At 48.1% G+C, this 27,127-nt stretch overlaps 1 protein-coding gene across 11 annotated transcripts in view, besides 1 other annotated feature; it reads left to right on the forward strand.

The window, feature by feature from the left end:
- The window catches only part of DNAH10 (dynein axonemal heavy chain 10), a 173,420-nt gene that overhangs the window by 113,472 nt on the left and 32,821 nt on the right, over window positions 1–27,127 (forward strand). For 9 of the 11 annotated variants that reach the window (NM_001372106.1, XM_011538014.3, XM_011538015.4 and 6 more), the window contains 9 exons: window positions 1,964–2,136; window positions 3,492–3,585; window positions 3,862–4,029; window positions 5,853–6,041; window positions 11,370–11,541; window positions 17,461–17,664; window positions 18,871–18,951; window positions 21,998–22,195; window positions 22,881–23,042. In NM_001372106.1, coding sequence (NP_001359035.1) covers window positions 1,964–2,136; window positions 3,492–3,585; window positions 3,862–4,029; window positions 5,853–6,041; window positions 11,370–11,541; window positions 17,461–17,664; window positions 18,871–18,951; window positions 21,998–22,195; window positions 22,881–23,042 — 1,441 coding nt within the window. The remainder of the gene's footprint in view (window positions 1–1,963; window positions 2,137–3,491; window positions 3,586–3,861; window positions 4,030–5,852; window positions 6,042–11,369; window positions 11,542–17,460; window positions 17,665–18,870; window positions 18,952–21,997; window positions 22,196–22,880; window positions 23,043–27,127) is intronic. The other 2 variants (XM_011538016.3, XM_017018960.2) reach the window with 2 other exon arrangements.
- Window positions 23,054–23,554: an enhancer, noted in NCBI's record as "H3K4me1 hESC enhancer chr12:124383373-124383873 (GRCh37/hg19 assembly coordinates)". NCBI's record gives its function as "activates a minimal SCP1, AML or CMV promoter by ChIP-STARR-seq in naive H9 embryonic stem cells {active_cell/tissue: H9 hESC(naive)}" and the evidence as "EXISTENCE:reporter gene assay evidence [ECO:0000049][PMID:30033119]".

Here is a 27,127-nt window from a genome sequence, read left to right on the forward strand (position 1 = left end):
ATGCCACATTGAGTGACAGCGAAGAATCAACTAGCAGGCTGGGGCCCTGGAGTCAGTCCCCTTCTGCTCCGGGAGCAGGTCTCTTGAACTCTCCTAACCTCATTCTCATTTGGAGCGGGGAGATCATGATGGTCCCCACCTCACTGGGTTTTGGGAGGATGAAAGGAGAGAAATGCGTGTAAAGGGTGCCTAGTGCACACTGCCTAGTGCATAGCAGCTACTCATTGGTTACTAGTTACTGCTGTTATTATTATGATTTACTTGGCTCCTCCAAATGGAACCCATTCATTTAAACAACCATCTTCTGATCTGGCGTTTCCCTGCTAAAGCGGAGTCTGCACACTCGGAGGCTCCAGGGGCCAGGTGGGTAAGATAAAGGTGTGGAGTGGCCAGGCCTGATCAGTAGGAACTATGAGCACCTGGCCCGTTCATGCCCTACCTGAAGGCATTTGCTTTCAAAACGGTGAGGTCCGTGCTGGTCAAATAAAACTCCCACCGAGGGCTGGTTGGGGTCTTTGGTTTCACATCATGTTGACTTCACAGTTAATGTGAAAATCTAGAGCAATACAAAAAAATCAGGCCCGGTGCAGTGGCTCACGCCTGTAATCCCAGCACTTTGGGAGGTTGAGGCAGGTGGATCACTTGAGGTCAGGAGTTCAAGACTAGCCTGGTCAACATAGCAAAACCTCATCTCTACTAAAAATACAAAAATTAGCCGGGTGTGGTGGCAGGCACCTGTAGTCCCAGCTACTTGGGAGGATGAGGCAGGAAAATTGCTTGAACCTGGGAGGTGAAGGCTTTAGTGAGCCAAGATCATGCCACTGCACTCCAGCATGGGCAACAGAGTCTCAATCTAAAATACATAAAAAAATAAAAAAATTAAAAATAAGTAGTAAAATTCACATAATGGCTGGGCATGGTGGCTCACACCTGTATCCCAGCACTTCGGGAGGCTGAGGAGAGCGGATCACTCGAGCCCAGCAGTTCAAGACCAGCCTGGGCAATGTGGTGAAACCCTGTCTCTACAAAAAATATGAAACATTAGCCAGGTATGATGGTGTCCTGTAGTCCCAGCTACAAAGGAGGCTGAGGTGGGAGGATCACTTGAGCCCAAGAGGTCGAGGCTGCAGTAAGCCCTGATCATGCCCCTGCACTCCAGTCTGGGAAACAGAGCAAGACCCCATCTCAAAAAAAATTCACATAACACAAAATTCGTTATTATAGCCATTTTAAAGTATACAATTCAGTGGCACTTAGTCCATTCACAGCGTTGTGCAACCATCAGCAACGTCTAACCCCAGAACATTTTCATCACCCTGGAAGGAAACCCACACACATTAGCACTTACTCCCATCCCACCTCTCATTCCCAGGAACCGTGACTCTACCTTCTGTCTCCATGGAGTTTTCCATGTTGGGTATTTCATATAAATAGAGTCATAAAGCACGTGGCTTTCTGTGCCTGGCTTGCTTCACTCCTCATCATGTTCTCAAGGGTCATCCGTGCTGGAGCTTGTGTCTGTCAGTGCTTCATTCCTGGTTTGTTTTATTTTGTTTTGAGATGGAGTCTCCCTCTGTCACCCAGGCTGGAGTGCAATGGCGTGATCTCGGTTCACTGCAACCTCCGCCTCCTGGGTTCAGGCGATTCTCCTGCCTCAGCCTCCTGAGTAGCAGGAATTACAGGTGCGCACCACCATGCCCAGCTAATGTTTATATTTTATTTTAATAGAGATGGGGTTTCACCGTGTTGGTCAGGCTGGTCTTCAACTCCTGACCTCAGGTGATCTGCCCACCTTGGCCTCCCAAAGTGCTGGGATTACAGGCATGAGCCACCGTGACTGGCCAACTTCATTCCTTTCTATAGCTTAGTAATAGTCCATTGTACGGCTCTGCCACATTTTGTTTATTCACTCATCTACTGAAGGACATTTGTGTGTTGGGGGGGGTGTCTTTGCATTTTTCAGACGTTTCATGAGAGCATTGTGGCTGTGAGTGGCAAGCTGACATTCTGCACGCTAGCACTTTACAAAAATATTGTGCAAGACCTACCTCCCACTCCGTCAAAGTTCCATTACATCTTCAACCTTCGAGATCTCTCACGGGTTTTTAATGGTCTTGTCCTCACTAACCCGGAGCGGTGAGTTTGATTTATCTTACTAAAATATGCCCCACAGGTATGATAGTTTTCTTATTCTTTTAAGACAGAGGGCTTATCAGTGGATTTGATGAATCGTTGTATGAATTAATTACCCAATGTCTTTGCTTATGTTGAAGAAGAGAGACCAACACTTGGCTTAAGGCTTGATGCTTTGTAAGCCTTTGCATTGAAACAGGCAAAACCAAGAGAAGCAGAAGTGGGGACAAGCCTATCACACCCCTTGGGCAGGCTGTGTTGTTGACTTCTCGTTTTCAGTTCTGAAGTTGGAATTTGCCTGCATGGAGCCTTTTGCTCACATAACTCAGTCGTTGCCGGTTGGTTATAGGATGTGTGTCTTTATGAGAAGTAAGCAGAGGACAGAAAGGATTTAAGTCACGATATAGGGAAATTCCCGATTAAAACTAGGCTTATACCTTTACATGAATGTCTACTTTAGTCTATGTGGATTTGCAAGCATAGTCCAATTATGTGGATTCATATTATGAATCCAGAAGATACTGAAAAATGAATTGAGAATTTTCCATGTATCCTGCTTTTGAGTGCCTTGAAACATACAGACTGTCAGGGGCGGTCAGGAGAGGGCAGCTCCAGGTGTTTCAGGTGGAGTGACGGTTCTTTGCTAGAATGCAGGGAAAGTTCTGGAATTGGGGCCAGATTGAGTTGGCTCTTAGAAAAAGGAGCTGTCGGCCAGGCACAGTGGCTAATGCCTATAGTCTCAGCACTTTGGGAGGCCAAGGGAGGAGGATCACTTGAGCCCAGGAGTTTTAGACCAGCATGGGCAGCATAGTGAGACTCCATCTCTACAAAAAAATTTAAAAAATTAGCTGAGTGTGGTGGTATGTACCTGTAGTCCCAGCCACTTGGGAGGCTGAGGTGGGAGGATCACTTAAGCCCAGGAATTTGAGGTGGCAGTGAGCTATGATTGTGCCAATGCACCAGCCTGGGTAACAAAGCGAGACCCCACCTCTTAAAAAAAGAAAAAAGAGAGAAAAAGAAGTTGCCAGTGACCCTGATGCTGATTTTAAATTCATGTATTCCAACAAGTAGGGATGATGTCAGGTACTTATTTTACGTCATTTATAGACAACGCTCTTTTTTTCTTTCCTACAGTAAGATAAGCTACGGATGATGACTTTAGGGGGTTTACATTACTTTCTTAGCTTCTGTTGGATTCTCTGGTTAGATTTCATTAACGTGAGACTAGGGGGGCACGACTGGAGAAATGTTGGGCCTTTATTGCGCTCTGTGTGTCTGTCTGTCTGAATGTCACAGCCGTCAGCCCTGGTATCCTTCAGGTGACTTCCTGGCTGATTTTTGTCCCTTCCATTCTGCAGATTCCAGACGGTGGCCCAGATGGTGAGAGTCTGGAGGAATGAGTGTCTGAGAGTCTTCCACGACCGGCTGATCAGTGAAACAGACAAGCAGCTGGTCAGTACATCCAATGCTTCTTCTCAGGAAATTCTTCTCAGGAAAATAAACAAGCGCCAAAAGTGTTTTTTATATTAGGACGCGAATTGTGGAAAAATAGGCACGAAAGGTCAATGGGGCAAAGGAGGGTGGGTGGGTTATTAAGCGTCTTGCAGCAACTGAAAAAAAATAGAACGCAAATTATTTTAGATAATAGTACGTATCCTCTGCTCCTAGCAAGTTTCAGGCCGTGTACTGTTGTTGAGTTTGGGTCCTTAAGTGGGCTTCTGTTTCAAGGTACAACAGCACATAGGCAGCTTGGTTGTGGAACATTTTAAAGATGACGTGGAGGTGGTGATGAGGGATCCCATATTGTTTGGAGACTTCCAGATGGCTCTGCACGAAGGAGAACCACGCATTTATGAAGACATCCAGGACTACGAGGCGGCCAAGGCTCTGTTCCAGGTGGGGATGAGCCCCACCCTGTCCATGGGCTCACTTTCTCCTGAGCATGGGCCAAGCGGGAGCTGAGCATCGCGCGGGTGCCCGGGAGCCTATCACCTGGGGCTCTGTCTGAGGGCTTGAAATACGGGCTTGTGTCTGGTCCGGTGGTTCCCACATCCAGCATGCTTGGGAGTGACGTTAGGAAATTGTTAGACTCCTGGGGCCACCCCGTGAGATTTGCTGCGCTGGGCCCATGGAGGGTCCCCAGATTCTGGTGCACAGCCAGGTTTGGGAACCACTTGTTTGACTCCCTAATATTCATTTTCATTTAAATTCATGAGATGAGCCTTGTTACCGGCTTTGGGTCGCTGCTGGCCAATCAAAGCCCAGCAGATGGAAATCTCGATTGTGAAAGCTAGATTAGTCCTGGAGACCCAAGCAGTTTAATTATTTTAACTACTATAGATGTTCAGAAAAATCTCTCTTCCATTCTTAATCTCCTCTGGACAAAAGGAGGGAGTCTGTCTCTTAAAATCCAGTGATCCTTTAAGACATTATTTATTTATTTATTTATTTTGAGACAGGGTCTCTCTCTGTCACCCAGGCCACAGTGCAGTGGTACGATCACGGCTCTCTGCAGCCTCAACCTCCTGGGCTCAAGTGATCTTCCTGCCTCAGCCTCTGGAGTAGCCGGGACTATGGGCACACATCACCGTGCCCAGCTGATTTTTTTGTTTTTATTTTTGTAGAGACGTAGTCTTGCTCTGTGGCCCAGGTTGGTCTCGAACTCCTGGGCTCAAGTGATCCTCCCTCCTCAGCCTCCCAAAGTGCTGGGATTATAGGCATGAGCCACTGTGCTGGGTTTTAAATTCTCTTTTTTTTTTTAATGCTTTAAATTCTAGGGTACATGTGCACAACATGCAGGTTTGTTACATACGTATACATGTGCCATGTTGGTGTAGTGCACCCATTAACTCGTCATTTACATTAGGTGTATCTCCTAATGCTATCCCTCCCCCCTCCCCCCACCCCACAACAGGCCCTGGTGTGTGATGTTCCCCTTCCTGTGTCCATGTGTTCTCATTGTTCAATTCCCACCTATGAGTGAGAACATGCGGTGTTTGGTTTTCTGTCCTTGCAGTAGTTTGCTGAGAATGATGGTTTCCAGCTTCATCCATGTCCCTACAAAGGACATGAACTCATCCTTTTTAATGGATGCATAGTATTCCATGGTGTATATGTGCCACATTTTCTTAATCCAGTCTATCATTGATGGGCATTTGGGTTGGTTCCAAGTCTTTGCTATTGTGAGTAGTGCCGCAATAAACATACGTGTGCATGTGTCTTTATAGCAGCATGATTTGTAATCCTTTAGGTATATGCCCAGTAACGGGATGGCTGGGTCAAACACTATTTCTAGTTCTAGATCCTTGAGGAATCGCCACACTGACTTCCACAATGGTTGAACTAGTTTACAGTCTCACCAACTGTGTAAAACTGTTCCTATTTCTCCACATCCTCTCCAGCACCTGTTGTTTCCTGACTTTTTAATGATTGCCATTCTAAGTGGTGTGAGATGGTATCTCATTGTGGTTTTGATTTGCATTTCTCTGATGGCCAGTGATGATGAGCATTTTTTCATGTGTCTTTTGGCTGCATAAATGTCTTCTTTTGAGAAGTGTCTGTTCGTATCCTTCGCCCACTTTTTGATGAAGTTGTTTGATTTTTTCTCGTAAATTTGTTTAAGTTCTTTGTAGATTCTGGATATTAGCCCTTTGTCAGATGGGTAGATTGTAAAACCCACCATGCTGGGTTTTGAATTCTTTTTTTTTTTTTAAATGCAGGAAATTCTTGAAGAGTATAATGAAAGCAACACCAAAATGAACTTGGTTCTCTTCGACGATGCTCTGGAGCATTTAACCCGGGTGCACCGTATCATCCGCATGGACCGCGGCCACGCCCTGCTGGTCGGGGTAGGGGGCTCAGGGAAGCAGTCTCTTTCGAGGCTGGCTGCCTTCACAGCCAGCTGTGAGGTCAGTCCACGTACCCTCCCAGAAATAGGTTTACGATGCCAGTTTCTGCAGTTGGTAGTTCGTGTACATATTGGAACAATCCACAGCAGATCATAGCATGATGTTTTCATAGAGTATCGAGGTGGGTGTTTTGGTTTGTTTTATTTTTTCTTGTTTTTGGCTTGATATTACTATATTTTAACTGAATAGCCAGAGCATCTAAGTACAGGTGTTCTTTGGCTTAGGATAGGGTTACATCCTGATAAAATAATCATAAGTCAAAAATATTGTCAGTTGAAAATACATTTAATATCCCAATTAACCCATCATAAAGTTGAAAAATCCTAAGTGGAACCATCAAAGCCGGGGACCATCTGTATTGCTTTGTTTTTAGGATGGAGAATGTCAGATCAAGTTAGAAAGTCAAATACAAGCACATCCTGTGAACGGTGATGTGTGTTCATATGGGGAGGGCTTGGCCCAAACCTCAGTGCACCCATAGTATGGGGCTGGCAATTTGCTGGCTGCCATATCTGCACAGCCTGCACACACAGATCTGGGTTAATCTTAGAATCTTGTATTTTTAAACAGCTTTACTGAGATTGAATTCAAGACCATACAATCCACACATTCAAAGCATACAAGCCAGTGCTTGTTGGCACATTCACAGATCTGTGCAACCAGACCACAGTCTACTTTAGAACACTTCTGTGGCTTCGGCCGGGCGTGGTGGCTCATACCAGTAATCCCAGCACTTTGGGAGGCCAAGGCGGGTGGATCACCTGAGGTCAGGAGTTCATCATCACCCTTGCCAACATGGTGAAACCCCGTCTCTACTAAAAATAAAAAAATGATCCAGGCATGGTGGCACGCACCTGTAATCCCAGCTACTCGGAGGCTGAGGCAGGAGAATCACTTGAACCTGGGAGGCAGAGGTTGCAGTGAGCTGAGGTCATGCCGCAGCACTCCAGCCTGGGAGACAGAGTAAGACTCTGTCAAAAAAAAAAAAAAAAAAAAAAAAAAGAACATTTTGTGGTTTCAAAAAGAAAAAGAAATCCCATGCCCTTTAGTGATCACCACCCTGACCTCTGCACCCTCCCCTCATCAAGCCCTGAGCAACTAACGGACTAATCTGCTTTCTGTCTCTATAGTCTTCCTATTCTAGACTTTCATGTGAATAGTGTGTGTGTCTATTTTGTGTCTGGTATCTTTCTTTTAGCACAGTGCTTTCAAAGTTCATGTTGTAGCATACATCGGTACTTCATTTTTTTTTTGCCAAATAGGAGGCCCTCGTGTGGCTATGCCACGTTTCCTTTATCCACTGCTGGGCGTGTTTGTTGTTTCCACCTGTTGGCTTTTGTGGACAGTGCTGCTGTGAGCTTTCATGCACAAGTTTCTGTGTGGACATGTGTTTGCATTGCTCTTGAGTATGCTCCTACAAGTGGAATTGCGGGATCCTATGATAACTCTATGTTTAATTGTTTGAGGAACCTCCAGGGTGTGGCTGCACCGTTTTCCATTCCTACCAGCAGCGTCTGAGGGTTCCTGTTTGTCCACACCATTCTTAGAATCATACAGGTACCTCCTGCAGGTTCCACAGGTAACTCACCTGCAAGGGGCCTCTCGAAGTGGAGCAGACACTATGCATTGAGATGTAATTTGAAGAAGAGTCATGTCCCTCATTCACCCTTTTCTCCCCGACTCTTCATTAGTTCTCTGGTATCTGACTTCTTTCACTATTAGGGTCTCCCGTTATCCAAAATGCCTCTGTTTTTGCCTCTGGTTGCATGATACACATGCATGCTTATAATATTTTCAATTTACAATGGATTTATTGAGACGTAGCCCCATCTTAAGCTGAAAAGTGTACCCTAAAATGCAACTAGTACCTAACAGCGGCTATCTTTAGGTGATGAAATTACAAATGATCTTTATTTTCTTTAGACGTTTCTGCATTGCTTGAATTGTTGCAATGAGGATTATTCCATTTAGAGAGAGAGAGAAATGAGTGAGTCCATAACAATAGTGATTCTTATTCCATGCAATGGACTGAAGTTTTGTCCGTGCCTGTTCTGGGTGTGTGGTGCAGGACGGGATCTGTATTCAGCCTCAGTTCTTCTCAGATGCTCAGCCACCCCTCATGTCTACCTCAGAACCTTTTGATAAGTCCACCTTTAGAGAAGACACTTCTTGCAGAAGGGTCATTTTCATGACTCTTCTCCTCCTGGCAAGCAAGAGGTGTTCTTTTTCTTCGCCCCCGAGATGGAGTTTCGCTCTGTTGCCCAGGCTGGAGTGCAATGACGTGATCTCGGCTCACTGCAACCTCTGCCTCCCCGGGTTCAAGCGATTCTCCTGCCTCAGCCTCCTGAGTAGCTGGGATTACAGGCATGTGCCACCACGCCCGGCTAACTTTTGTATTTTTACTAGAGACGGGGTTTCGCCATGTTGGCCAGGATGGTCTTGAACTCCTGACCTAAGAGGTGTTCTTTTGCACAGACTTTCTTCTTTGTCTTCAGTGTGTTTTCTGGAATCAGATTTAACTCAGCATCATTGCCATTACCACAGAGAGTCTTAGGCAGTTCAGGCTGTTATAACAAAGTGCGATAGACTGGCTGGCTCGTGGACAGCAGGTGTTCGTTTCTCACCATTCTGGAGGCTGGGAATTCCAAGATCAGGGTGCCAGCATGGTCGGGCTCCAGAGAGGGCCCTCTCCCGGGCTGCAGATGGCTGGCTTCTCATGGCATTCTTACATGGATGGATGACAGCACGAAAAGTCTTTGGGGTCCCTTTTATAAGGGCACTAATCCCATTCGTGAGGGCTCCACCCTCATCACCTAATCACCTCCTAAAAGCCCAACCTCCAAATACCATCACATTGGGGGTTATGATTTCAACAAAGGAATTTTGTGTGTGTGTGTGGGGAGAACAAACATTCAGTCTATTGCACGGAGTAAGAATCACTATTGTTATGGACTCACTCATTTCTCTCCCTCTAAATGGAATAATCCTCACTGCAACAATTCAAATGATGCAGAAGCGTCTAAAAAAATAAGGATCACTTGTAATTTCATCACCTAAAGATTGCCACTGTTAGGTACCAGTAGCCTTTTAGTGTATACTTTTCTTTTTTTAAATTATTTTTCTGTTATTTTCATTTTTGGTCTGGGAACCAACGGAATAATGTACACTTTTCAACTTACAATAGGGCTGTCTCAATAAACCCATCATAAGTTGAAAATATTATAAGCTGAAAATGCACTTTTGATTTATATATTCAACTTACAATGGGTTTATCTGGATGTGACCCCATCGTTAAGTTGAGGAGTGTGCTGAAAGTGTAGCACTTTTGCGCCATGGCAAAGTCAAAAAGTTCTAAGTTGAACCAGAGGAAGTCAGGGACCATATGTGCATTCATACACAAACGTATTTCCTTCTTACCAGCAATGGGTTAAAGTTATATGTAACTTATGTCATTTTTCCCCACTGTGTCACTGCGTCTTTCCAAGTCAATAAATACATATTTACATTGTCTTTGGAAGCGTTGGACAGTATTCTATTGTTTGGATATGCCACACATAACCCATTTCCAATGGCGGGCATTTAGCTTTGTCCTTGTTTTCTTATTACTAACAGTGCAGTGATGAACACCTTTGTTTATGTATCTTTGAATATTGTTCATTTTTTTTTCCCTATAGGATCACTTTCTTTAGAGATTGGTAAGTTGGCAGGTTAAAGGGTATATGCTCTTTTACAGCTTTGGTTGCCTGGCACCAGATTTCGCACTGGGAAGGTTGGATCTAAACTCATATGGAGTTTGCCTCTTTGGAGTGGAAAGGACCTGGGGATGCAGGACAGAAGGAAAGGAAAAAAGTGTCCTTATTAACAACCAATCACCCCACCACAAAGGATTATGCTAATTTATGCAACTGGCAGTGTCTGTTTTCACATATTCTTGCCAATACTAGATATTGTCATGCTGATATTTGTCAAGATTATAGGTGGAAAATATTGCAGTTTAAATGATCCTTTCTCCAATTAATAGTAAAGTTTGAATATCCTTTTATACATTTTTTGGACATTTACCTTTTCTCTTTTGTGTATTGCCCCTTTATATACTTATTGAGTTGTGAGAACTCTTTATATAGGAGAGCAATCACAGTTCATTCAATGAATCCAGCTTCCAAAATTTCACAAATATTGGCCTTTTGTTTGAGGTATTTGTAAAAAAGGGAAAAACTAATATGCTTGATCTAGCTTTAAATCTGATGAAATACATAATTGAAATCATTCATTGTTAAAATATAACTGTTTGCAATTGTTTTCCACATTTTTCTATAGGACAAGGCATTCCCCACTGGAAAGTTTTATTATTTTTTTTCTGTTGATTTGTCCAGGTAAATCTGAGGCATTTTCCCCTAAAGTAGCGCCTCGAGGAACAGCAGAGAGGATGTTGAGGGACAGAGATCTGGAGGAGGTTGAGGACACACAGGGCTGTGTCTGGGCCCTAGGAAGTGGCGAGGGTTGGGTAGTGGGGTCAGAACAGGTGTTCAGAGAGTAGTGCCAGGAGCTGCTGGGGAGGGGAGGCGGCTGCACTCGGGAGGGGTGAGGAAGGTTTGCAGGCGACAGGCAGAACTGGAGACCAGAGTCTATTGGCCAGAAGGCATCCTGGTTGCGTTGCGCGCGCGCGCGTGTGTGTGCACACGTGTGTGTGTGTGTGTGAGCATGTGTTCTAGTGCATGCCAGGGTGCAAGTGAGTGTGTGGCTGAGTGTGAACATGTGGGAATGACTGTGTGAGTGTGACAGTGTGAGTGAAGCGTGTGTGTCAATGCATAGGGTTGAGGGAGGTAGGGAACAGAGAGAGATCTCTCAGTTCCTGGAAATCTGCCATGTTTCTGACAGTCGCTGGTTGCAATGAAAGTTTTAATTTCTGCTTCTGAGCTAAAAGAAACACTTGAGCAGAAAAAGCGTGCTTTAAACTTATGTCCTTATTCACATTTACATCGATTTCGTGTGTACATTGATTTCCTGTCACGAAGTTAAAGTGCCTGCTTATTTCTCCCTGTGTGCGTCTTCCCACAGGGTCTGATTTTCTGTAAACTGCAGTATGTGGCTGGCGTTCACCTTGGGGTACATTCTTCCCCCCTTTCCTCTGTTGCTGGGCTCATGGGGCTTCCCCCTCCTCTGTTTCATGACAGGGAGTCCCTTCCAGACTTTTCTTTCCTGACCTACTTCCTCGAGCTTGGACAGACCCACGCCCTCTGCACTCTCCTCCAGCGTCCCCACCCCGGAGCCCGCAGGGAAGGGAGGCTGGTGGTGGTGACGCCCATGTGCTCTGTGTCTGCATCGCAGGTGTTTGAGATCCTGCTGAGCCGAGGCTACTCGGAGAACAGTTTCCGGGAAGACCTGAAGAGCCTCTATTTGAAACTTGGGATTGAGAACAAAGCGATGATCTTTCTGTTCACGGATGCCCATGTGGCTGAGGAGGGCTTCCTGGAGCTCATCAACAACATGCTGACCTCAGGTACAGCCAAGGCTGGCGCCCGCTGTGGCCAACACCCCGCTCAGCTCTTAAGGGAGTTCACTTTCTTCAGCAGTTACCACCTCCAGACACTGTGGGTAGCCCTGTGCGGGTGTACCTGTTCCTCCCTCACGGCGGCCCCTGAGATAGGTCTCATTATCTTCCTTGGCTCCTCCTGTCCTGGAGTCTCCCGAGTGTGCCCCCTTCTCTCCGTCTGCGATGATGGCAGTATCCTTGCAGTAAGAACAGGTGGTGTCTGGGCATCTGGCCGTGCCCCGGGCTGTGCTAAGTGTGCATCATACATTCCCGTCTCCACAAAAACTTGATGAGAGGCCAGGTGTGGTGCCTCCTGCCTGTGATCCCAGCACTCTGGGAGGCCAAGGAGGGAGGATAGCTTGAGCCCAGGAGTTTGAGACCCCGTCTTTACAAATTTTTTTTTTCTTTTTTTTTTTTAGATAGAGTCTCGTTCTGTCTTCCAGGCTGGAGTGCAGTGGCGTGATCTTGGCTCACTGCAAGCTCCGCCTCCTGGGTTCACACCATTCTCCTGCCTCAGCCTCCCGAGTAGCTGGGACTACAGGCACCCACCACCATGCCCGGCTAATTTTTTGTATTTTCAGTAGAGACGGGGTTTCACCGTGTTAGCCAAGATGGTCTCGATCTCCTGACCTTGTGATCCACCCGCATCGGCCTCCCAAAGTGCTGGGATTACAGGCGTGAGCCACCGTGCCTGGCACAAAAATATTTTTAAGAAGTTAGCCAGGCATGATGGCGTGAGCCTGTAGTTCCAGCTACTCAGGAGGGGCAGGAGGATTGCTTGAGCCTGGGAGGTTGAGGCTGCGGTAAGTCATGATCATGTTATGGCACTCCAGCCTGGGCAACAGAGTGAGACCCTGTCTCCAAAAAGAAAAAAAAACAAAAGCAACTGAAAAACAATCAAACCTAATAGGGAAGGTACCATTAACATCCTCATTTCACAGCTGAGGAAACTGAGGCCCCTGTAGAGGGCTGAATGGCGGCCCTCTAAAAGACACATCCTAAACCCCTGGATCTTGAGAACGAGACCTTTGTAAGAAAAAGAGTCTTTGCAGATGTAATTAAATTAAAGATCTTGAAGTGCCTTCCTGGATTTAGGGTGGGTCCTAAATCCAGTGACAGCTGTCCTTATAAGAGAAGGCAGAGGGAGATTTGAGACACAGAGAATAAGGTCCCATAAAGATTCCCACAAGTCACGGGACACCTGGAGCCACCAGAAGCCAGAGGAGGCAAAGAAGGATTTTTCCCTTGGAGCTGTTGGCAGGTTACCCTGAGACCTTGATTTCAGGCCTCCAGAACTGCAAGAGAGTCGGTGTCTGTATTTCTTGTCTGAAGCCACTCGCTTTGGGGTAATTAGTCATGGCTGCCCCAGAAATCTACTAGAGATGCCACCTACCTTATCCAAGGGCACCTTGCTGGGAAGGCACTGAGGTGAGACTCGAACCCAGGATTTTTAGCATCTTAGCCACGCTCACAACCACTTTACCGTGTTGTTATCTTGTCTACCCTGGGGCCCTGCAAAGATCCGTGCTGACTTCGTCTGGCCTAATGGCTTACAGGGACCTCCTTTCTTTCCCAGGGACCTATTTCATCGATTGCTTGTTTGTTTCAGCACCTGACCATATTCATTATTGTATTGCTGTGTTATTCATTGAGCCCCAGCCTCCCAGCATTTACTATAAAAAATTTCTAACATAACAGTGAGGCTGAAAGAATTTTTTCTGTGAACATCTGCCGGCATGCCATCTAGATCCCTCCTTTCTCGCCTTGCTGCACTTGCTCTGCCATGCGTGTAAACAGCTTTCCCTCCCTCCCTGCTTCCGCCCTTCTCGTTTTTAGATGCGTTTCAGAGTCAATTGCAACATCACTGCTCTCCCCGCTAAATGCTTCTGCGTGCCACTATCTAGAGTTCAAGTTTTGTTTAGTGTTTTCTTTTGATGTAAAATTTACATACAGGGAAACGCACAACATTTTAAGTGTATATTTGCTGCATTTTGATCATTGCGTTTTAAGTTGCGTCTGTTTCAGTGGGTTGTCGGCTCCTTGAGAGGGGGGATCGGGTCATCCACCTGGATTTATTCCACAGTGTTTATTCCAGACACTGGGTTTGGTAGGGAATAAGATGGTCATGACCTCTGCCCTCCTTGGAGCATACATTTCAGCGTGTGAGTGGACTGGTTAACGACAACAACAACTACACAAAGAGATACAGCAATTGCAGATTGTGGTAAGTGCCGTGAGTGCAAAGGGGAGTTGCTGTGAGAGAGAGTGTGGGCAGGAGCATCTCAGGGCAGACAGGGAAGGCGTCACTGTAGAGACTTTTCAGCTGAGGCCTGAGAGATGCTGTGTGATCACACTCCCTATGGCTGCTGTAGCAAATTTCCCCAAACAGCACGGATTTATTCCCCTATGCGCCTGGAGGTCAGAAATCAGAAAAGGGTCTTAAGGGGTTAAGATCAGGGTGTTGGTGGGGCTGGTTCCTTCCAGAGCTTCCTGGGGACACTCTGTTTCCCTGTCTCTTCCAACTGCTTCAGGCCACCCGTTTCTTGGCTCTTTAGCTCGCTGGCTCTCATCCTTCCAGTCTCTACTTCTGTCATCCTGATGCAAACTCAGCTGCTTCTCTCTTGTGGGGACCCCTGTGATCGTCTCCAGCCCACCTGGGTAATTGAGAGCACGCGCTCCATCCCACCATCCTTGGCTGCGTCACATCCACAGAGTCCTTTTTGCAGGAAACATAAAGAAACCCATTGGCCGGTTCCTGGGCTTAGGATGCCATGGACACCTTTAGAGGGCTGTTGTGCAGGGATCAGGACGAGGTGGAGGGGTTCTATGGCGTGGAACCTTGTAGGTCATTTATAGGAGATAAGATTTTATTCTCAGTGCAATGACGTAGTCCAGATTTATGGGTTTTTTAATTTTTTAGATTTAATTAATTAATTATTTCAGAGACAGGGTCTTACTCTGTTGCCCAGGCCAGAATGCAGCGGCATGATCATAGCTCATTGTAGCTTCCAACTCCTGGGCTTACACAATCTTCCTGTCCCAGCCTTTCGAGTAGCTGGGACTACAGATGCATCTCACCACAACCAGCTGATTAAAAAAAAAAAAACACACTTTTTTTTTTAAGAGGTGGAGTCTTCCTGCATTGCCCAGGCTGGTCTTGAACTCCTGGGCTCTAGTGTTTTTCCTGCCTCACCTTCCCAAGGTGTTGAGATTACAGGCGTGAGCCACTGCACCCAGCCAAGATTTATGTTTCTAAAAGATCCCTCCAGTGCGCCGTGGGGACGAGATTAGAGGGGAACAGGAGTGGGAGAGGGGCATCCAGTTTGGAGCTACCCCTGCAGTGTAGGCAGGAAGTGACAGCGATTGGAGGAGGGTAGGGCACTGGGGACAGAGAGAAGTGGGTGGATTCACGAGGTATTCAGGAGGCAGAGCCAACGGGACTTCGATCGATTTGGCTGTGGGTTGGGGGAGGGGTATCAAGGGTGACTCCCAGGTTTCTGGTGGAGCGAGTGATCAGTGCTTCCATTTGCTGAGATGAGGAAGACCAGTTCTGGGCTTGTGGCATTAGGAGCGTGTTGAGTTTGCTGCACTAGATGAGAATCTGAATGTGATGTCATATAGTGTATTAGTTTGCTGGGGCTGCCGTCACAAAATGCCACAAACTGGGTGGCTTAAAACAATAGAAATCTACTCTCACAGTTCTGGAGGCCAGGAGCCCAAGATCACGGTGTCGGCAGAGCCCGTTCCTTCTGAGCTCTGGGTGGGGGAATCTGTGTTGCTGGTGGCTGCTGACAGTCTTTGGTGTTCCTTGGCTTGTAGGCACAGAACTCCAGTCCCTGTCTTCGTTGTCACGTGGCCTTCCCCTTGTGTGCTGTCTGTCTCTGTGTCCAAATTTCCCTCCTTTATAAGGGTACCTGTCATATTGCATTAGGGCCCATCTCAATGACCTCATTTCAACTTGATTATCTCTGTAAAGACAATTTCCAAATAAAGTCACAATCTGAGCTACTTTGGGGACTTCAGTATATCTTTTTCAGGGCGACATGCAACTTCAACCGTAATACATAGGCAGTGTGTACATGAGTCTGGTTCTCAGAATAGGAGCCTAGGGTGGGGACGTCAATTTCAGAGTCACTGACATGTGGTGGGACCCGAGTGAACCATCCAGGGAGAGCCCAGCACTGAGTTCAGGTGGAAGAGGAACGAGCAGAGACTGAGAGGGCAGGCGGAGCACGGGGAGCGAGAGACTGAGAGGGCAGGCAGAGCCCCGGGAGGAAGAGACTGAGAGGGCAGGCAGAGCACAGGGAGCAAGTTCCTCTTTGTCTTTTGGGAGTCTTGGGCTCCCTGCCAAGGGAGGGATCCCTCTCCCTTGTTGAATATCCCCAAGACCATCCCCGGCTCCGTGACTTGCTAGGAGGACTCGCAGGACTCAGCATGTGGTCCTGCTCATGGCTGTGAGTCATTACAGCAAAAGGACACAGAGCAACATCAGCAGAGGGAAAAAGTGCATGGGGGACCCTAGGGAAGACCAGTCTCAAGTCTCAGAGTCCTCTCTCCGGGGAGCCACACAGGACATGCTTAATCCCCCAACATTGAGTTGTGGCAACTCGTGTGAAGTACTGCCCACCAGGGGAGCTAGTTGGAGACTCAGTGCTCCGGGATTTCCTTGGGGCTGCTCATGTAGGCACCTCTACCTGGCATGTGCCAAAATCCCGGATGCCCGGAGGGAGAGCGGGTAGTCAGCATAGAATACGTTGCATACCCAAGCAGTGTGGGCACAATGTTAGGCTGTTCTTGCATTGCTATAAAGAAATACCTTAGACTGGTTTTTTATAAAGAAAAGAGGTTCATGTGGCTCACAGTGCCGCAAGCTGTACAGGAAGCATGGTGCTGATTTCTGGGGAGGCCTCAGGAAACTTACAGTCATGGCAGAAGGTGAAGGGGGAGCAGGCGCGTCCCATGGCCAGAGTGGGAGCAAGGTTGGGGGAGGGGCCACACACTTTCAAACAACCAGATCTCACGAGAACTCACTCGCGCTCACAAGAACAGCACTAAGAGGATGGTGCTAAACCATCCATGAGAGATCTGCCCCCATCATCCAGTCACCTCCCACCGGGCCCCACCTGTAACACTGGGGATCACAATTCAACCTGAGATTTGGTGCGGACGCAGATCCAAACCACATCCCATATTGGGCCACTCTTATCAGTGAATCGGGGAGGAAGCTCTTAAGGAAACTAAGTTCCCAGGTGCCTTTCAGAGGTGAGCAGCCGTGGCCTGCCACGTTAACTCTTCCCTGCACAGGAGAACGTCAGAGATGGCATAAAATGTATTGCATAATTTGAAACGGCGTAGATATAGGAAAAAAGAAGTCCACGTAGCCAGGGTTTCTCGACTGCGTGCCGTTGACATTTGGGGCTGGGCTGTTCTTTGTTGTGGTGGGGCTCTCCTGGGCACTGTGGGAGGTTCAGCAGCATCCCTGGCCTTGACCTATTAGATGCCAGTAGCAACCTCCCTTGCAACAAGCAGAAATATCTCCAGACATGGCCCAGTGTTTCCTGGGGGCAAATCCCAGCTGAGAATCCCTGCTTCGGAGTTACAGGCAAGTGAGGCCTCCTCATGCTCTGCATGCTCCCTGTGATGCTCACGGTCATCCTCCCAGGCGAGCTGGCGGCATCTAGGATCCCCGTTTGACAGACAGGAGCTGGAGGCTCTAAGGGCTTGCCACGAGGTGGCAGGGAGCCTCGGGTCTCAGGTCAGGCCCACACGCTGCTCTCTGGACTCAGCACCTGCTGATCTTTCCACACCTTCCATCACTCAGTCAGCACTTAGAGCGGTCATGACCCTGGGACTCAGAGAGATCACCAGCATGTCTTCCTTTTCCAGGAATTGTACCTGCGCTTTTTTCTGAAGAGGAGAAAGAGTCTATCCTGAGTCAGATTGGACAGGAAGCTCTGAAGCAAGGCATGGGGCCGGCCAAGGAGTCTGTGTGGCAGTACTTCGTGAACAAAAGTGCAAATAACCTGCACATTGTCCTGGGCATGTCGCCAGTGGGGGACACCCTGAGGACCTGGTGCAGAAACTTCCCAGGTACCCGCGGTGGAGCCTGTGAACCCATTTCCCCTGCTTTGGCAGAGTGTGTGGCTGAGGGTCTGTCCACACCTCTCCAGGTTCCCCCAGCAAAGCAAAACAAGACACGGCCATTAGGTGGAAATGTGGGCTCTGCACTGTAGCTTGGGGCTCACTGCCCCTTCTAGGTGCCAGTGGGCGTGAGTGATGTCCCTCTGACAGGAGGATGTACCCATGCTCCTCCATGCGAGGCCCGCAGTGCATGGACGGTGGCTCCCCGCTTCCTTCCATTTGGGAAAATTCCACCAGCCTCATGCCAGCCTTTAGAGCAGAGGTTCCTAATGGGCGGGGCAGGGGCGGGGGAGGTTGTGTTCTAGGGGACTCTTGGCAATGCCTGGAGACATTTTTGGTCATCACAGCCCCGGGGAGCATGCAGTGTAGTACTGGCATCTAGTGGGTAGAAGCCAGGGATGCTGTGAAGCATCCTACAGTGCACAGCCAGCTGCTGCCACAAAGGATTAGAGCCCAGATGTCAATAGCGCCAAGGGTGAGAAACTCTGCTTTTGATGAACTAGATTTGGACACATCTGGCTCATTCACCAACTTGTTGGCTATTGAAGATGGCATCCATGTTCTTGAGTGTCTCAGGGTTGCAGAATGAGCATCCTTTTTTTTTTTTTTTTTTTTTTTTTTGAGACAGAATCTCGCTCTGTCGCCCAGATTAGAGTGCAGTGGCACCATCATAGGTCACTGCAGCCTCGACCTCCTGGGCTCAAATGAGCCTCTCACCTCAGCCTCCCTAGTGGCTGGGACTATAGGCGCACACCACCACGCTGCCTGGCTGATTTTTTTTTTCTTTGAGACAGGGTCTCACTCTGTTGCCCAGACTGGAGTGCAGTGGTGTGATCTTGGCTCACCACAACCTCCACCTCTCGGGTTCAAGCGATTCTCTCACCTCAGCCTCCTGAGTAGCTGGGATTACAGGTGTGCACCACTACTGCCCGGCTAATTTTTGTATTTTTAGTAGAGATGGAGTTTTGCCATGTTGTCCAGGCTGGTCTTGAACTCCTGACCTCAAATGATCCACCCGCCTTGGCCTCCCAAAGTGCTGGGATTACAGGTGTGAGCCACCACACCCGGCCCTGATTTTTGTATTTTTTGTAGAGACAGGGTCTCGCCACATTGCCCAGGCTGGGAGCATCTTTTTAATCTCTCTTTCCTTTCAAGGTATGGTAAATAACACTGGTATTGACTGGTTCATGCCCTGGCCTCCCCAAGCCCTCCATGCGGTCGCAAAGTCCTTTCTAGGTAAGTCACAGCTGTTATGGGAACTGCATTATTGATAAAACAAAGCAATTTATTTTCCCTTTTCTGACTTTGAATTCTGGTCTTGTAGATTTCTTCACTGGAAAACCCTATGGTAACAAATGGCTTTCAATTTTGTTAGTATGTTTTTGGTTTATATTTGGTGTTTTAGTCCAAAGACATTTCAGGAGACTTAGCAAGGACAATTTAGGATAAAAATTGATTAGGTGTTCTCCACAGCAGCAGTTGGCAAAACCATGGTCTGCTGTCTAGTTGGCCCCTTACTTGTTTTAGTAAATAAAGTTTTATTGGTACACAGACTCACTCATTAATTAACATATTGTCTCTGGCTGCTTTTATGCTACAACCGCAAAGCTGAATAATTGCAACAGAGACCGTATGAGTACTGTTCGGCTCTTTGTAGAAAACATGTGCTGGCCTCTATCCAAAGAATGCTCCAAGGACAATTCAGCAAACATTCTGCATTCTCATTGAATTTCTAGCGTTTCAAACACCTAAGGCCTTGGATATTAATTTTAATGTTTGAATAAGAAAGGAAGTCTGTCTTCAGGGAACATCTTTTTCTTTTGACCTAACTTGAGCAGATTTATGATGAATGACACTGGGTAACCTTGAAAATAGTTTCAACCTTCTAAATCTGTACTCAATAATAAATAAATAAATGTTCCTATATGTAAGAAGAAATCATAACTTTAATCATAATGCAGTTTTGGGGGAAAAGGGGCCAAGAGAATGACTCTTTTCTGATGATATATCTCAGGTCCAGATGGTAAATATTTACAGCTTTTTCGCAACTACTCAATTCTGCCATTTTATCATGAAAGCAGTCATAGACAATACGTAAATGAATCGCTATGGCTGTGATCCAATAACACTTTATTTACAAAAACAGGGGGCGGGCTGGATTTGTCCTTTGGCCCGTAGTTGGCCAGCCCCAATATAGATGTCCCCTTGTTCTCAGAGGCGTATTTGCCGTTTCCATGTGTGAAGTGCTTGTGTTTGCTTTCAGTATTCAGTGATTCAGCATCATAAATAATGCTGCCTAGAATTTGCTTAGAACTTTTTTGTCCTTAGAATATACTCCCTGGAGGCCAGGCGCAGTGGCTCACACCTGTAATCCCAGCACTTTGGGAGGCTGAGGCGGGTGGATCACTTGAGCCCAGGAGTTCGAGACCAGCCTGGGCAAAATGGTGAAACCCTGTATTTACTAAAAATACAAAAATTAGCTGGGTGTGGTGGTGGGCACCTGTAATCCCAGCTACTCAGGAGGCTGAGCCATGAGAATTGCTTGAGCCCAGGAGGCAGAGGTTGCAGTGAGCCGAGTTTGTGCCACTGCTCTCCATCCTGGGAGGCACAGTGAGACTTTATCTCACACACACACACACACACACACACACACACACACACAGAGAGAGAGAGAGAGAGAGAGAGAGAGAGAGAGAGAGAGAGAGAGAATATATTCCCTGGAATTGAGATGACTATGCCCAAAGGCACAGATATTTGTGAGGCACCGTTTTTCCTGCACACTGTAAAATGGGCCCTGGGGCTGTGTTTTGCTAACCCCGGAGTAACTCAGGACCAGCTCTGCAGAATCTGGATTAATCGGTACTTTCAATCTGTCTTTCCTTCCTCCATTTTAATATGAGACATTCTCTGCTTTGAGCTGAATGCATTTAACAACCTATCAGATAATCCAGGTGATGTGATCTTGACACTGGAAGCCATCATTCATTCTTTCAGCGGGTGTATAGGAAGGCCCACCTTTGCCGATATGTGCTGGGTGTCATCCAGCGGTGGGTAACCGAATAAGCCCACCCAGTCCTCGGGCGGGCGAGGGGAGCAACAGGGCAGAGTTAGACGTGGTGATCGCTTCTGAAAACCCAAGGCCCTTCTGCCACGGTGTCTTGGCCTTTAGGGAAGACAGGGCTTCCTAACAGTAGGGAAGGAATTAGGTAACAGAGTGAGACCCTGTCTCAAGAAAAAAAAAAAAAAAAAAGAAGGATTAGCACGGATCACTGCTGTGGCCCTGAAAAGCCACCAATAAGTGATAGCCATTCTTTTCTTGTCCTATTAAAAACTTTAACATCATTTTTTTATTGTAGTAAAATATATGTAACATAACATTTTCCATTTTAAGCATTTTGAAATGTACATGTGGCACTAATCACATTCGTAATGTTGTGAAACCAACACCACTGTCTGTTGCCAAAACTTTTCATCATCCCAAACTGAAACTCCATACCCGTTAAACACGAACTCCCCATCGCCCCTCCCTCCAGCCCCTGGCAACCTCGAATCTGTGTTCTGTCTGTATGAATTTGCCTGTTCTAGAGAGGGTTCGTATAAGTGGAATCATGCAATGTTTGTCCTTTGGTGTCTGGCGTCTTTCACTTAGCATCATGTTTTTGAGGCTCATCCGTGTTTCAGCATCGGAACTTCATTCCTTTTTACAAGTGAATACTATCCCCGGTATAGATAGGACACATTTTGTTCATCCATTCCTCCGTTGCTGGACGCTTGGGTCTTTCCACCTTTTGCTTATTGTGATAGTCTACAGTAAACATTGGCATACAAGAATTCATTTGAGTCCCTGCTTTTCAGTTCTTTGGGGTATATACCTAGGAGTGGAATTGTTGAGTCATATAATAGTTCTATATTTAACTCTTTGAAGAATCCCTGTTTTCCTTTCTTAACAAGCATGGCTGGGTGCGGTGAGTCACGCCTGTAATCCCAGCACTTTGTGGGGCTGAGGTGGACCGATTGCCTTAGCTCAGGAGTTAAGACCAGCCTGGGCAACATGGGTGAAACCTCACCTCTACAAAATAATACAAAAAATTACCCAGGCATGGTGGCCCATCCTGTAGTCCCAGCTACTTGGGAGGCTGAGGTGGGAGGATCACCTGTGCCCAGGAGATGGAGGCTGCAGTGAGCCATGATCACGCCACTGCACTCCAGCCTGGGCAACAGAGTGAGACCCTGTGTCGAAAAAGAAAAAGAAAGAAAACATTTTTTATTCCTTCCTCTTCAGGGTATAATCCAATGATCCCGGCAGAAAATATAGAAAATGTGGTGAAGCATGTTGTCTTGGTTCACCAATCCGTGGACCACTACAGCCAACAGTTTCTACAGAAATTGAGGCGCAGCAACTATGTCACTCCCAAGAACTACCTTGATTTTATTAACACCTATTCAAAATTGCTGGATGAGAAAACTCAGTGTAATATAGGTAAGCCTTGGGGATGGGGTGGTTGACAAAAGTCATTATTATTTATGGGTAAGGATTCGAGCGCTGATCTTTTCTTTAGTAAGATGGGGCATCTTCAGTATTGAGGCCAAACGAAGCACATCTTGGATTTTGTGTCTTGGAGCGATTCTTTCATGTGGGCAGGACCCTGGCATGTCCTTATTTTTGTTCTCAGTGTTGAGTCTTAGACTTTGAAGCTTTACATTTTGATCACATTAGCAATTTTTAAATTTTATTTTTTATCTTAGGGATAGGGTCTCTGTTTCCCAGGCTGGAGTGCAGTGGTGCAACCATGGCTCACTGCAGCCTCGACCTCCTGGGTTCACGTGCTCCTCCCGCCTCAGCCTCCTGAGTAGCTGGGACCACAGGTGCAGCCACCATGCCTGGCGCACATTAGAGACAACTATCTGCTGCAGCAGCATGCACTGCCGGACAGGGCTTTTTAAAAAGTGCTCTGGCTGTTGGCCAAGGGAAGCACTGTCTTCAGAAATACATTCATTTTGGCTGATGCTGTCCCAAGTATGGCAGTGGAGGTACTGAAAGACATGTGCCATCTTGTAAAAATGTTTTGTTTTGTTTTTGATAAGCTGAAGTTAGGCAAATCTCAGTGATTGTGTTGCGAACAGTGGCCACCTCGACGATGAACATAGGTGCCCTCTTTCCTCAGCTCAGTGCAAGCGTCTGGATGGGGGACTGGACAAGCTGAAGGAGGCCACCATCCAGCTGGACGAGCTGAACCAGAAGCTGGCCGAGCAGAAGATCGTGCTGGCGGAGAAGTCCGCCGCCTGCGAGGCCTTGCTGGAGGAGATCGCCGTCAACACCGCTGTAGGTGAGTGAGGGCGGGGCCAGGGCAGCCCATCCCCAACACCCAATACCCACCGTAGGTGAGTGAGGGCGGGGCCAGGGCAGCCCATCCCGAGCAGGACAGGGCTCTGCCAGGCCGTCCCTGTGAAACTGCTTGTAGGCACTGAGCGTGCCATCTTTGACCCTGCAATTCCTGTTTTCTTTCTGAATTCGTGTCCAGCCAGTCTTGTCCCCTTTCATAAGCACTGAGAAGCTACCATATGTAGGCCCCTGCGCTGGTAGCCTGAGGATGTTCAGGGGAGTGGAAAAGTCACTCGACCCTCTATGGGCTGGTGAACTAAGTCCGTGGGGTTGAAATGACCTAAGCCTTGGCACCATCGACGCGGGACTTTCTTGGTTCTTGAAGCTGTTTCAAGGTTCTTTCTTGGGCCCCTTCCCTCGGTCTTCTTGGCCGAGCCTCTGTGTCACCTGCACTGTCCTGCTCTTGACGACTCTACCCTCTCGCGATGCCTGGCACAGGACGGCTCCTGCAGCCCACAGCTCTGTGCCTGGCCTCTAAGCCTCCTCTCTAGGTCTTTGGGCCAGTGGCTTCTGATGTGTACCCTCCCCAGCTTGTTCCCAGATTCCTGCAGATGCCGCTCAACCTGCCTGCCTCTTCCTTCTCCTGCTGGTCCGTGTTCGTGTTGCTGCTAAGTGTCATCTCGGTTCAGTTCCTTTGTCATTGCACCCGGCCCTGTGCACAGGATCCATTTGTCATCACTCTGGCAACAGCACCTTAACTTGGTGTTGGCAAACTGCCTCTCCCCGACTCCCAGTGCCTGCCATCAGGATGGGCTTATTCTAACCCTGACAGACCAATTAGATGTTCTCTGGGACTGCACATTTTGAATCAGCCAATATAAAGACTGAAGATTATTTGTGTTCATTCATTGCACAGCAGCGCCGTGAAGAGACTGCATTCAGTGCCCGAGCCCAGATCCCTGAGGCGCCTCTAGTTTATGTGTTTCAGCATCTTCCATGTCTGTGAGCTACCATATCTTCTTAAAACAATTTCACGTTTTTCTTAACTCGACCATCATTAGCTTCTGTTGCTTGCAACCAAAGCAACTTAATCGATAGATATCCTTTCCCAGGAATTTGTGGCATATCCCTGCTGCCTGTTTTGATGCTGAGTCCTCACTGTGGCCGTGAAGGGTCCCATCAATCCCTCTATGTCATCTTGCCTACCTAATTTCTCATGACACCCTGTCGCCTGCTCACAGCATCACTTCTTCATGCCTGTGTGAGTCCTGCAGTAACTTGCTCTTTCTCTCCCTTTGGTCTGCTAAGAATATCCGTACCACTTCTTTCTTCCTGTCCATGTTTCTCCTTCCAGAACTTTGATCAAATGCCTCATTCCCACATAGCTGCACTTTGCTTTGATCTGTCTTTTAAAAACTATATATTTCTGGCCCCCTAAATGTAAAAAACTATATATTCCTGGCCCCCTAGATGTAAAACTAGACTGGAAGTGTCTTGAAGGATGCTGGTATTCCACGTATTCATCTGTCCAGTCAGCAGATACTGACTTCAGCTTCATGGCAGCCACCGTGGTAGGGAGAGTGGGGGCTAGAAACCGAATGAGACTCAACCCCTGCCTCGAAGAAGCTCACAACCAAGAGAGCCCCTCCCCCGGTGCCCAGGCCACAGTTTGTACTGAGGACCGCCTATTTGCCACACCTGTGTTTAGTGCCTCTCCTACCTGTGCTTGTTTTTCTTTCCCCATTGCCATCATCCTTGTCCAGGGTCACCTTGCTCCCACTTGGAATTTTGGAGGAAGCTTCATCTAGGAACTCTGTTTCCAGGGTTGCAAATGGTAGAAACTGAGCTCAAAGTGGCTTAATCCAAAGTGGAAACGCATTGATTCCAGAGGCATGCTGGCTTCAGGCACAGCTGGATCTAGGATTCAAATGTATCAGTGGGAATCTTTCCTTCCCTTTCTTGGCTCTGCTGTCTTCCGTTTGGGCTTCATCTCAGGCAGCCGGCTCTGTCCATGCTGAGACTTTGGGAGCCTCCAGCATGAGGTTGGCATCCTATTAGCTCAGCATCCCCAGGGGAGAGAGGGCTCTTCTTTCCCATACATTCCCTCAAAGCTCCCAGAGTTGGCTGTGATTGGACAGATTTGGGTCACATGCCCATGCCGAAACCAATCCTGGTGGCCATAGGAATGGGATACATTGACACGTCCCACAGAGGGTAGGGTGGAGTGCAAACAATCCTCTCTCCTGAGGGTGGCTCTTCAGCACCTGCCCCAGCCTCCAGCCCATGCTTCTGCCTGGCTGAAAGAGCCCACAATTTTGCTCCTCAGCATGACTCAAGCACCTGGCTTCGCCAGCCCCCTTTGCAGGCTGCTCCCCACACTGAGGTTCCTGAGGCCTGTACCAGCCCTCTTCCTTCCCAGCCAGCTCTGGTGGTGTCCTGTTACCTCTGCACTCCGTTCCTGCTGGCACCACCCCCCACCCCCGCGCCTCAGCACGCTCACAGCTTAGACAGCTTCCTTTCTGCTTTTCTGTTCCGAAGGTTCCACACTCGTGATCTTGCTACCCTTTTCTGATGCATTCATCCCCCTGCTGCCCCAGGGACAAGTAGTGCCTGGGCTGGGGACCCTTTACAGTGTCAAGGCCCGTGCACGGCTTTGCACGCTGCAAGTGCCAGTGCTGGCTTGTTAGCTGTGGAGATGGGTTCCGAGAGACCTTATCATGGGGGAGGCAGAGCCTCTGCAGCCAGCATCTGTTTGTAGAAGGCCTGCTGCATTCATCTCCCGGGGCTGCTCTAACAAAGCACCATGATCTGGGGGCTGAAAACAACAGACATTTATTTTTTTAAATTAATTAATTAATTTATTTTTTTGAGACAGAGTCTCGCTCTGTCACCTAGGCTGGAGTGCAGTGGCGCGATCTCGGCTCACTGCAACCTCTGCCTCCTGGGTTTAAGCGATTCTCCTGCCTCAGCCTCCTGAGTAGCTGGGATTACAGGTGCCCGTCACCACGCCTAGCTAATTTTTGTATTTTTAGTAGAGACGGGGTTTCGCCATGTTGGCCAGGCTGATCCCGAACTCCCAACCTTAGGTGATCTACCTGCCTCGGCCTCCCAAAGTGCTGGGATTACAGGTGTGAGCCACCATGCCTGGCCAACAACAGAAATTTATTCTCTCACAGTTCTGGAGGCCAAAGTCTGACATCAAGGTGCCAGGACCATGCTCCCTCTGAAAGCTCTAGGGGAAGCCTCTTCCAGCTTCTTGGGGTTGTTGGCAGCCCTTGGTATTCCTTAGCTTAGCTTATAAATGCACCACTCCAGCGTCTGTCTCCATTGCCACACGCCCCTCTTCCCTGTGTGTCTGCACATGGCCTTCTGATAGGGACCCCAGGCATTGGATTTAGGGCCCACCCTCACCCCGTATGACCTAATCTTAACTAATTCCATCTACAAAGACCCACTTCCAAATAAGGTCACATCCTGAGGTCCCAGTGGGCACGAATCTTGGTGGGGTGACACTGTTCAAACCACTGTGAGCCAAGCCCTGCTCTAGGTTTTGGGGTTCCGGCCCTCGGGGAGGTGCTGACATCCTAGTGAGTGAGGGCACCCAGGCAGTGAATCAGCCAGTGGTGAAATGAAACTTCCGATTGCGATTGGTGTCATGAAGCAAGTCAGCAAGGAAGGGAGAGAGAGGACGACAGAGGGGCAGGCTCCTTAGAGGGTGGCTCTGGCTGGGCCCGAGTGAGCGTAGGAAGAGGCGATGAGAGGCAGAAGGAGGAGATCGCAGGGAGCCGGTAAGCAGGAGGGGGACCCCAGCATCCTCACTGAACACCGGCGAGGCAGGGCTGGGGGCTATCAGGAGCCATGGGATTTGTCCTGGATGGAGTGGGTGGGACACAGGTGGGCCAGTTGAGGAAGGTCAGAGTCAGGGTGGCTGCCTAGTGCTGGAGGCCCCACGCATGGTGAGGTTTTCTGTCCCACCAGGATCACTGAGGCTGCCACATTGGCCAGAGCCCCTTAGATCCCCGCTAGGGCTCAAGCCAACCTTTGAGGACTGCACTCTGCTCAGAGCCGGGGCCGCGAGTGCATCTCCTC

Source organism: Homo sapiens, chromosome 12 (genome assembly GCF_000001405.40).
Source record: "Homo sapiens chromosome 12, GRCh38.p14 Primary Assembly".
Classification (NCBI taxonomy): Eukaryota; Metazoa; Chordata; class Mammalia; order Primates; family Hominidae; genus Homo; species Homo sapiens.